The sequence below is a fragment of the Homo sapiens genome, chromosome 4 (genome assembly GCF_000001405.40).
Source record: "Homo sapiens chromosome 4, GRCh38.p14 Primary Assembly".
NCBI lineage: Eukaryota > Metazoa > Chordata > Mammalia > Primates > Hominidae > Homo > Homo sapiens.
In genome coordinates, this window is record NC_000004.12 from 168261316 (window position 1) to 168273716 (window position 12401).

Here is a 12401-nt window from a genome sequence, read left to right on the forward strand (position 1 = left end):
TCTACATTATGTCAAAAAATCACATCCAAATATATTTTCAAGGTCTGTAAATGACAGAATAGCTAGAAGAAAATGTAACTCAATTATATTATGTTTTTGAATGGGAGTAGATTAAGGTATTACAACAAAAAAAAATCCAATGAGAAAAGTCTAATATATGTCATTCCTCAATCTGTGCCAATAAATCAAATTTCAAAATATGAAGACCATCAACTTATTAAAACAAATATCTGTAACTTATATAATTCCAGGTAAAGTTTTAATACACAAATAGTTCCTACAACTTGAAATAAGAAGAAGAAAAGGACAATAAACTGCAAGTCAAAAAAGACAGAGGAGTAAAACAATCTTCTCAGAGACTGTTACTGTGAGTTCAGTTTCTCTACTGCCAAAGTATCAACAATATCATCTCTATGGATAGTGAACCTTCTGTTCTTATCTGCTATGCCATTTAGAAGCAACCAGTAGCCTCTGGCACATGGTTCAGAAGACACTGAGGATAAGACAAAGACCAGTTTACTTTCTCTTTTTATTCTATCTCAGAATTACTAGACTTCAAGTTCAACTTAAATTTCTAAAATAAAAATTGAGGATTAAAAAAAATCAGAAAATGGTATTAACTGAATGATATAACTCAAGAAAACAACAAAAATAAAGTTTGGCCAAAAAGCGTATGAAAATTACCTGCTCTACGTTGCCATTTTTAATCCAACTTGTTAATTCTGCCTTTAGACTCTCTTCATATTTCCTAGCATCCATCTTTTTAATGACTAATTTATTGTTAAAATGAATGAAGTTTTCTGGGCACAGTTCCTTGAAAACAAATATTACAAAATTAGGCACAATCATGCAAGAAAATCCAAAAGTATTTCTCAATTATATGCCTCATTAACAGCCTTACAAGTTTCTTGAGCACAGAGATGGTTAAACTTTTTATCTCCACATGGCTTCTAATGCATAACGTTACTAGGATGGATGAGCTCTTCAAAAGAGAGGATACAAAGCAAAACAAAGTAGAAGATGAAAACAAACAGCAATTGGGACTTAGAAGGGAAGCAAGTGTAATAAAAAGAAATATGAATCTAAGGTGTAAGAAGACTGAAATATAATAGTGTTCTAGAAGTTGCAGAAGTTGAAAAGATTTCAAAAAAAAAAAAGAAGAAATATTCTCAGGAATTAAATAAAATACAAATTAAAACCCATTAAAAAACAAACAGATAATGTTAGAAATATGAGAAGAGGCACTCTTATTGTAGGAAGAGTCAACTAATAATTTTAAAAGATTAGATGCCAGTGATTAGAAAGGGTGAGAGTTTGTCAATATTATCATCCTCTATAATAGGATTAATTACATCATTATTATTTACCTGGGCCCGAGGCCAACTTTTCCAAATTTGAAACATGGCATCATACAGCTGGATGCTTTCTCGAGGTGAAAGGGTAAGATCAGGAGGGAATCCATACCTTTCAATCTGTTTAAAATAAAATTAAAATTTTTACTCTTTATTTTATTTTATGTCGTATCCTTTGCCTCTTAGTCACTATCATAACCCAAAGACACTGAAAGGCAATAAACTAAAATGTTCAAATGCTGATAGGTGCTAAATGCTACCAAATTCTATCAACACAGTTCCCTGAATCACAAAAGAGGGAAAAAAGCCAAAAGCCCACCAAAAAATTTTAATATTACTTCCCAAGACCTTTTCATTGTGCTAATTTTCTATGAACTGACTTCATAATTGAAATCAGAGCGATGGGAAGCTGAAAGATTTGTGGACTCAGTTTAGACAATACATAACTTCTATCTTACAGCTAACACCAAAACTGATGTAATTAAGAATGTGATTCTTTACTTTTATGTGTACCAAGCCAGGCTAAAATGGGAAAATCTTATTTGCTTAAGTTTCAAGATAAGAACTGGGTCAACTTCAAGATAAAGGCTCTTAAACCACCTTCAAGACTCCAAGAAATTTCTCCCAAAGGTCACTGACAGGTCTGCTTTAAGTCTTCTTAATAATGTATGCCATTCATTTTTTCCACAAATATTTTTAAGTGGAAATAAAAAATTCCTGTTCTCAAAAAGTTTCACTGTAGTATTTTCTACTGGTTTCAATCACTACTGCTACAAATCATTTGCATGTAGAAACATACTCTCTGAGATGTTAATAGGAATGTAGTATAGACTGAATGTTTGTCTTCCCCCAAAACTTACATATTGAAACCGAATCCCCAATGTGATGGTATCTGGAGGCAAATCCTCTGGGAGATGATTAGGTCATGAAGGAAGAACCCTCATGAATGGGATTAATGCTGTTATAAAAGAGACCACAGAGATCTCCCCTGTCCCTTCTGCCATGTGAGGGCACAGCAAGAAGACAGCTTATCTATGAACCAGAAAGCAGGCCCCCACAAGACACCAAATCTCCCAGGGCCTTGACCTTGGACTTCCCAGCCTCCAGAATTCTGAAAAATAAATCTTTGTTTCTAAAGCCTCTCAATTTGTGATATTTTTGTTACAGAAGCCTGTTGAATGGGCTAAGAGAGTATTCTTCAAAAAAGAAAAAAGAGAGAGAAATGATATATATTGTATCAAATAGGATTCTTTGGGATTTCTCACTGGAAATGTTAAACCTCAAAGAAGTAAATATAGCATGCAAATTTATCCAAAATAATTTGACAATAGGGCACTTGCTTTCGTAAATAGCTATTAATATGTTTTAAAATTCAGGCTTCAAATTTCGGGGCTAAAAAAGCCACTCCAAACACAACACAGTTGAAAAAAACTGGAGATGATGTTTGGTAGAATGGAAAGTACAGGAGAGTATGAATCAGAAGATCTGGTTCTAATTGCACCTGTAAATGCTAGTTCCTCATCCATAATATAGGAATGAAAATACAATATTTTTACTTCCACCCTAAAGACTGCAGTGAGAGCAGACAAAATCAACATATGTTCTTCAAACCTTTAAAACTATAGAACGTAAAACAATTCCTGGAATCATCGTTTAACATCTCAGTTGGAGTACTGAAAGATAGCTAAATGCTAAGGACTATATTATATCAACATACTAAATAAAACAAAACACCTATTATTTTGTAATGTTGGCATCTTGCTCTCTTGTTAGGTATTACTTGAAAGTGGTTACTTATTCGACCTATCTAAAATAAAAACATACAATAAATCCAAGATTTATTATAATTTTAAAATATAAATCTTCTGTTTTTGGTTGCTAGCTAGAATGCTTATGATTTCTTAAGTCTCTTAGCCTTTTAGAGAGGTCTGAGCTTCCTCATTTCTAAAATGGAGGATAATTCTGCCTGTGACATAGATTTCTTATGAGAATTATATTAGATAACATATGTAACAGACTTAGTAAAATGCCTGGCATATGATTAATGCCACAGCCATCAATATGATTGACTAATTATCCCTTATAGTTCTTAATCTTTTAAATCAGTTTAACAGTCCTATGCCTAAATACTGGGGATCCAATTCAGTTGTTCTCCACTACACAGTGACTAATGATCCTGCAAAAGTTGAGTGAGTCTAGGCAGAAAATGAAGAGAAATAAAAGGTCACAGATTTGTACCATTCTTTATTTATAAACACAATAGTATTATACCATGATGCTATTTTTGTAAACCACATTGTCCCTAATGTCATAGGTGACGGTAGGCATTGATCTATGCTGAGCAGAAACAGATAGATAGCAGTTCTTTCAAGGACTTCCTGGGGCTGATAGCTCTCCAGGAGTCAGCAGCTGTTCCTGTGTGGCATGAAAATTGGGCCAAAAGCCAAAGACACTGTCCTTAGCCAGAAACAAGCCATGTATGGATTGAAGGCGATCCCTCACCATGGTTGGATTCAGATCAGCTCACTGGTCCTGCCCCCACTCCTGAAATCATTTTTATACTACAACTATAGAGGAAAGGACCCAGGTGGATGGCCGTTCTTATGTTGCCATAGTTTATTATGTTTTTTTCTTGCCACTCCATTTTTTCATATTAATCTGAAAAATGGACTACACAAGACCAGGAATTATTTACTCAGTTGAAAGGTCTCTTTGGTTTTTATCACTGCTTCTTTAGGATATGTCCTATATAAACACATGCTATACCATGCAGCTGTCAAAACGGACTTACTAATACCTAAGTCTTTATGTTCATTCTGCATTCCTGCCACAAAAGTCTAGACATCTTAAGAAGACTCATACAACAGCATGACCTTTGCAGAAGTCATCTGGGGTCACAGCACACTGTAGCAGTTCTATTGCTTTCCAGTTACTCCATTAATAGCTACTGAAAATAGAGGAAAGGCACTTGGACCAAAATGACAATTTCAGCAAGTACTCCAAACCACTATATTCATTGCTGCTTAAAGATAATCTGCCTTGAACCATCCTACACAGAATAATTTTTAAAAACTATACTGTTTTTAAAATGCCACATAATGATGAAAATGTCAGATAACTCCTGGATATCATAAAGGAAAGAAGGGAGGGAAGGAGGGAAGGAGGGAAGGAAGGGAAGGGAAGGGAAGGGAAGGGAAGGGAAGGGAAGGGAAGGGAAGGGAAGGGAAGGGAGAAAGAAAAATGAGAGAATAAAGTGCCTTTTATTCTTATATGTGGGTTATCATCCATATTCTAGATTTGGGGTATGAGTTAAGTCACAAGAATTTTGTCCATATTTAGGTTTATTTAGAATTTGGATTGGGCCATTGTCACACAAGAGATAAGTTCCCATAACAAAATCCTATTAGAAAATTACCATCAGCCAGCTTGCTTTTAGAAGCCAACTTGTTTGAGATTGTATCCTGGCCCCACCATTTACTTAATGATGCAACACTGAGTTAGTTAAGTTCTCTATGCCTCACTTTCCTCATTGTAAAGTGGGAATAGTATTAAGACATCTATCATAAGATTGTTGTAATGGTTAAAAGAGGTTTAAAAACGTAGAATTTTTAGAACATGAAGTAAGTGCTCAATTTAGGTTAGCTGTTCTTATTTAACATACACTTAGTACCTTTTATATACATAGCAATTTGTTAGGAAATGAAGGACACAAAATTTGTCTTCAAAGAGTTATTCTAGTAAGTAAAGACTATATGCATGTAAACAACTTAAGCAGTAAGCTCATCATGGCTGGTGTCGTATTAGAAACACAGACAAGGTATTATTGAGAGAAGAAAGATTACATCTAGCTAAGAAAGTCAGAGAAGAATTCAGAAAAGGTTTCACATTTGAAGAATTATGGAAGATGAACAGTATCTGAATGACTGGTATTTGGCATCCGGTTTGAAATATTCTAAGAGCAATATATAGCATGAGGGCTGCCAGGTAAGATATCCCCAGTGAATGAATGGAAAGGAGATTGGGGCCAGGTCATAGATGACCTTGGTTGTCAAGCTAAGGAGGTATGCATTTAGCTTTTTCCAAAAGAAAGTCAAAAGAGACTTGGAAAGATCAAAATTATCTTCAAAGAAAGCTGAGAGTTACATTTAATTATATTCGTGTCAAATTATGTTGACTTTTGTGCTCTAAAAATTTTACATATTTTACCTCCTTTAATCATCACAACAATCTTATGATGGATGTCTTATTATGTTTAACATAACAGAATTTGGAATATATTTAAGGTTTTAGAAGGAAGACAAAACTATTGACTAATCATCACTTTGAAAGCCAAAGGAAGTTTAAATGGGCCATGTATGGGACTAGGATGAGAGAGGAAGAGAACTATGCAAGAAAAAGTAAGTAATCTTTCCCCACTCACACCCCGGTGTCCCAGCTGAAATCTTCCTAAGACCTCCACCTTACTGGCTCACCACCAAAAAAATCATGTCGTGATTGCTACATTAGTGAGAATGTCTTTTACCTGATTTTTCTATGTACTAGGGATTGTCTACATATAATTGTATGGCTGCACTATGAGAAGAATTAGTGTCAGAGGGGTAGACAGACAGACATGGGAGCTGAGAGGAAGAAAAATTGCCAAAGAAAACATCCGAGAATAAATAAAATTAGCTAAAAATTCAGGTTAAATTTGTAGTGGTTTTTAATCTTTGTGTATTCAGGCATTGTTGAAGAACCAATGAGAATTAGAAAGAATACTCTTGTTATTTTTTAAATTAAGGTTAAAGTATCAGTTTCTGTAATTCTGTAATTCTATTCTATAATTCTGATACATATCAATTAGGCAGCATTTATTTATAATATATACAAATATTTTATATTACTTAGAACAAATATGGCTAAAATATTACCTACATGATCTGTTGTTAGTGCAGCACATGGGTGAAAATGATCAAAATGAATGTCACCATGTTTTATTGAACATACATGCTTCTCTAGATCATTATACCTCTCTCCATAGAGCACTAAAAATGAAGAACAAGAATTTCCACATCAATGGAAATGTAATCACTGAAACAAATTTAAAGTAAACGGCATCAAGATCAAGGCAATGGCAGATTTTTTAAAAATAATAAAATAAAAGGCAAGCTTTATATAAATATATCAAACATACCAAGTCTAACTTTATACGATTGTTTTACTTGCAAGTAGTCTTTGGGAAAGCCGGCCTGACGACCCACATGTCTTTTAGAAGCGGTATTATTTTCAATTATTTTGTCTTCTTGTTTCCAGTACCATTTTACCGATTGTAGCCACCTTAAAAAATAAATGTACATATTATTTAGGCAGAACATGGAACTACTTCCTGTGAAATTAAGTAGTTTAAGTAAAGACAATTTCATCTTCCTTATAAAGTGTACTTAGGGGAATAGACTCAGAAGCCAGACTACCTGAAATTAAATCCCAACCTTCTTAGTAATAGCTGTGTCTCTTGGTTGAATAACTTCATCTTTCTGTACCTAGTTTTCCACATTTTAAAATGGAAATATGGTATTCATATTGGAACTGTGACTATTTAATAGTAGTAATGGAAGTAAGCTTAAATCATAAGGGTTGCTGGGCATTTAAAATAAATTAATACATGTAAAGCACTTAGAACAGTACTGGGCACATAGGAGGTATTATAGGATTGTTATTAGTAAATAAATAACTATTATTATAAAGTAAAAAAATTATTAGTAGTAGGCAAAAATCAAGCCCAATGACAAGATAAAATGGGGTTTTCATCTAATAAGAATTTGCTATCTTTCTAAACATCTCTGTAAAGTGGGAAAATGGACCACAGGACCCATGGCTGAGTGTGTTGTTATATCATTTTATTTTTTATTTCTTGGTGAAGGACAAAAAAAGAAACAAAAATATATCTTTTCTGATGAATCATTTTTGGGATGGGGGAAATTTCCTACTCAATTGTAGATCTAGGTGGGGAAGTCCTTAATTTATACAGGGTGGCTTTCCTCAACTACGGCCAGGAGGTGTAGAGAGATGCAGTTTCTTGAAGATTCAGAAATAAACTATTAAATTCACTAGAAAATTATGAAACTCCTCAGAATCCACAGAGAAATTATGAAATTCAAATATTCAAAATAGATAAACACTCTGTCCAAATTGAAACTTAATGCCTACTCGGTGAGATGTTCAGGATTACTTATGGTAGCTGAAAGAGCCAAAAAGGGACATCGGATCATGACAAGGAGATGTTCCCAGATTTCTGCTCCAATTTCTCCACCAAGACAATGAACCTATTAAACAAAAAAAAAAAAATCTCAACTGAAAAGTTGATTTAAAAATAGCAAATGAAAGTTAAGACATGGAATCTTGAAATTGTCATGCATGCCTTCCCATCGCCTTTAAGTGACCATGCCAAGTTTAAAGAAATATTAAAAATCCTCACAACCAATGCACCAACAGTTCTGCTTTACTTTACTTTCAAAAATTTCCTTCAACTCAATGCATTTCTCTTCATGTCTACTGCCAACCTAGCTACTCTCATATCTCAGCAGCGTTACCACAATACCCACTTGACTACTGTACTTAGCCTCCCTATCTGCCCTTAAATTCTTCACATCACAGCCAAAATAAAAATGTTGGCCGGGCACGGTGGCTCACGCCTGTAATCCCAGCACTTTGGGAGGCCGAGGAGGGCGGATCACGAGGTCAGGAGATCGAGGCCATCCTGGCTAACACAGTGAAACCCCGTCTCCACTAAGAAAACAAAAAAAAATTAGCCGGGCGTGGTGGTGGGTGCCTGTAGTCCCAGCTACTTCGGAGGCTGAGGCAGGAGAATGGCGTGAACCCGGAAGGCAGAGCTTGCAGTGAGCTGAGATCGCGCCACTGGGTTCCAGCCTGGGCAACAGAGCGAGACTCCATCTCAAAAAAAAAAAGTTTAAAAAGATAAACTATATCAAGTCATGTCACTAAATAAATTGCTTTAATATCTTCCCTTTGCATGTGAAATAAAATATAAACTCCTTAATGGGATGTATAATGTCTGGCATCATTTGGCCGCTGCTGCCTCTCTGGCTTTATCTCAATCCACTGTCTCCACCTTTACTATGGTCCAGAAAGAATGACCTTTTCTTTGTTCCTTGAACTCACCCTTTCTACCCAAGAGCTTTCACGTATATTATTCCCTCTGCTTAAAATACTCTTACCCTCTATTATTCAAATGGTAGAGTTCAGCTCAATGCCACTCCATAAAAAAGACTTTTCTGACCACCTATTCCAGAGTTGCCTCCTCCTGACACTCTGCCAGGACTGCAGTCATGACAGCCTGGTCTCTCCCTTCACAGTTTGTACCAACGTGGGCTGGCATCATCATTTGTGAGCTCACTTGTTTATTTCCTCTTTCTTGATTAAACTGCTGTCAGCTCCAGTGTCTAATAGATAAGGCATTAAGTAAACTGTAACCTTAGACCTGAATATTCTATTCCTAGCCACTGACACAAAGCCTAGCACTGAGGAGGCACTCCTTAAATATCTGCTGAGTAAATGAACGGATGAGCAAATCAAACTAGATTCAGAAAAGAGTCTCAAATGTGGTCTTCATTTAAGAGATTAAAGTATGACACCTAGCAAGCAACTGAAAAAGACTTACTATCAAAGTCAAATTATATACCTATTAGAATATGCATACCCACTGCCCATCTGGGCTTGTACTGGTGAGATAAAATACCACTCCATCAAATATTGACCTTATGCTTTGCACTAGATAGCACTGTTCCCTGATTCTGCCAGAATAGACATTAGCCTTTAAAACCTTTTGGTTTTATCCCTTACACAAAATTTGAAAAACTGAAATAGCCAAAGTCATATCGTCATAGCACTTCAGAGTTTTGAGATCAGATTTTAATTCAAAGTTCTAGATTGCACAGACAAAGTTGTTGGATTTTTGAAAACTATAATATTCAAGACCTTCATGATGCAATATGAGATTAACCAAAAATAAATATAATAAATCAGTATCAAACAAATCCAAAGCACAGCCTATTTGGTAGCTCCAAGTTTACAGCAAGGAAAAGGTAAGTTACAGAGATTTGTTAAACTTTTCCCCTTTGAATGTAAAATTCCACAGAGTCAAAGAATATATCTTTCTATCATGTTTTAAATCTCTTTTAATAAATATTCCCCCTTTTTTTTCTTTCTTTCTTTTTTTTTTTTTTTTTTTGGAGATGGAGTTTCGCTCTGGTACCCAGGCTGGAGTGCAGTGGTACGATCTTGGCTCACTGCAACCTCCACCTCCTGGGTTCAAGTGGTTCTCCTGCCTCAGCCTCCTGAGTAGCTGAGATTACAGGCACCTGCCACCACACCCAGCTAATTTTTGTATTTTTAGTAGAGATGGGGTTTCACCACGTTGGCCAGGCTGGCCTCAAACTCCTGACCTCAGGCAATCTGCCCACCTCAGCTTCCCACAGTCCTGGGATTAGAGGTGTGAGCCACCGCACCTGACCAATAAATATTCCAAATAATGCTGCAATATAGCTTTGCTAAGTATCTTCCATTTGCCCCAATAAATCGCTACAAATCTACATTGTTTTTTATTCTGCTCTCTCTTCCCAGGGAAGCTGACCCATAGACACTTCGTCAAAAGGACTCTTATGATTTCTGGTTCCACTGCGTTTGGCCTATGAAGGGTCTTGGCCATAGATCAGAAGAAGTGGGGAGACTGAGGCTGAGGTCATTTTTCCATTGGCTCCTTTCCTGCAAAGCTACCTTGAATCAGCTATGTTCCTCACAATATGGCCAACTCAATTGGAATCTCCTTTTGAGTTTCCATAAATGCTTCCACGCCCTGCCCCTTTAAGCCAAGGGGCAAACTACTAGCTCTATATTACTGCACTAACCCTTGTGGATTCCCTCACATACACCTTTGAAAAATACACTTCTTGAATTATTGCATTTCAAGAGTGTCATTTAATTATCTGTTGGGATCATGACTGATAAAACTTATGTAATTGACATCATTGTTAGAGCCAAAAATTATTTACTTTAGAGGTCAAAGATTGGATTGAAATCTCTGTCCAGGGAAACTTGTACCAGGATGGTTGAATTCTATTTCCCCTGAAACAGTTGTCAATGAAAGATTCCACTCCCATACAGAACTCTGCAGGGTGCATCATTTTACCCTATTGAGTCACAACAGGAAAAGGGAGCCAAAAAAGTGATTTTTCCTGAAAAATCACTCAGGAAAAAAAAACGGAGGCCTTCTCAATCTGAACTCCATCCAAGGGGATAGATGTCCTGAAACACCAAATATCTTCATTGCTATGCAAGTGTGCACTAGGGAATTAAGCAAAGAAAGAACACCAAACCTACCTCATCAAATATAACATATCTGATCTTTTTCACCCAGTTTTGGCGATGAGGAGCAAGCAGCAGAATTTCAAAGCAGGCAGGCACTGTAATAAGTACCTACAAAGAATAATATTGTGTGAAGTAACATTTTGAGCACTTACTATGTGTTGACATATTTACAGGAATATGTAAGATAGACTTATGAGTCCTGAATGTACCTGCTGATAATTGGCATATAACATTGCTTCTGAGAATTCAGGGTTTCATCAAAACTGTGCTATATTCATTGGAACCATATGAAACTGAAATTTTGTTAGGCCAAAAATGGTAGAAAATCAGATTTGAAGTTTACATCCTTGTTTATGAACATTCAGGGTTTAAAAATAGAAATTATTCATTGTCACAAGTTTCATTCTTTAAAACCTGACACTGACATAGAGTTTAGATTGAAAGATGTTTATTAAGAATCAGCTAGTGTGAAAAGAGCAGGGAAGCAGGAATGAGCAGAGGGGGAAGCCTAACTGCAAGGCAGGCCTGATGGAGCCTCAGCCAACCTAGCTCGCAGTTCTGGAGTAAGGACTGCTGTCAGAGTTGTTCCACATCAAGCCACAGCAGCCCGCTGCTTATACTTCTACTTAGCTCAGTTGCAGGGTAGAGACTGTGGAGGCAGAACTGGGGGAGCTGATGGCTGGCATCTATCTTAACCACACTCCCCACATCAAGTCCTTCTTTGAAAGGCAATCTGGGTAGAACATCTCCATGTCTACCATGCAATCTTCTATAATCATGTGTTCATTCTTATTTAGTCTTAATTGTTGATCTGTGAGTTCATAAGGGTGAAAACTGTCTATGATTTAACACCAGGTATACGATCCATAATACAACATTTTCTAAATCATGAGTATCCTTAATAGATACTTATGAAGAAAAAGTAATTGATTTAAAATTGAGATTTGTTAATTTTCTATAACATAGCATTCTTCAGATCATTCTGAATCCCTTTACAAACCAAGACAATGCAATAAAATATTAATGAAATCAGAAATCCAAAGGTCAGTGTCCTTAGAGAAAGATGAGTTCTAGTTCTCACTCTTTGAAATGTAACAATATTACATTTTTTCTAAAAGTATTTTGTCTTTCATAAATTCAAATAAATTATTTTCACAAGCCTTGTGAAGATGTTGAATTTCTAGTCAAAGAGACATACAAGTACAGTTATATAATTTGATAACACACTTATTAATTAAAATACCCTACCTGACAGTTTAAGGCATCATGACGATACTCCCTGGTGAAAACACCACAGAGAACTTCACCACTTGGCAGATTTTTCGTAAAACGATTCTGAACAGTTGCTGCCACTTGATTAACAAGGGCCTGATTGACAAAGAAAAAGATCCATTAGTCACATAATAGAGAGAGGTGAAATATCAGAGGACAACAAGAACTGTCTAAAAGTGTGTCCTGCTTTCAGTGCAGAAAGCTTACTAACCCCTTTCATCAACCCACTACTCTAAACACACTAACATATTCTCTTTGAGATAGTTGACTCAGCACACAAATCTCATTGATAAACCTCAACCTAAAGTAAAATGGAATTTAAAAAGTATTCATCAGAAGGAAAAACAGAAAATGTTGCCTATATATCAGAAAAAAAATTGTGTCTCCTATATTTGGTGACTTTCCTCTGATGTC

General features: G+C 35.9%; 1 protein-coding gene across 7 annotated transcripts in view; it reads right to left on the reverse strand.

Moving 5' to 3' along the window:
• The window catches only part of DDX60 (DExD/H-box helicase 60), a 109686-nt gene that overhangs the window by 45022 nt on the left and 52263 nt on the right, over positions 1-12401 (reverse strand). For 5 of the 7 annotated variants that reach the window (XM_024454132.2, NM_017631.6, NM_001410861.1 and 2 more), the window contains 7 exons: positions 11964-12083; positions 10728-10823; positions 7539-7654; positions 6526-6668; positions 6267-6376; positions 1368-1472; positions 685-813 (listed from right to left, as the gene is read on the reverse strand). In XM_024454132.2, coding sequence (XP_024309900.1) covers positions 685-813; positions 1368-1472; positions 6267-6376; positions 6526-6668; positions 7539-7654; positions 10728-10823; positions 11964-12083 — 819 coding nt within the window. Of the gene's footprint in view, positions 1-684; positions 814-1367; positions 1473-1498; positions 4300-6262; positions 6377-6525; positions 6669-7538; positions 7655-10727; positions 10824-11963; positions 12084-12401 lie in introns of those variants that run through there. The other 2 variants (XM_017008384.2, XM_017008383.2) reach the window with 2 other exon arrangements.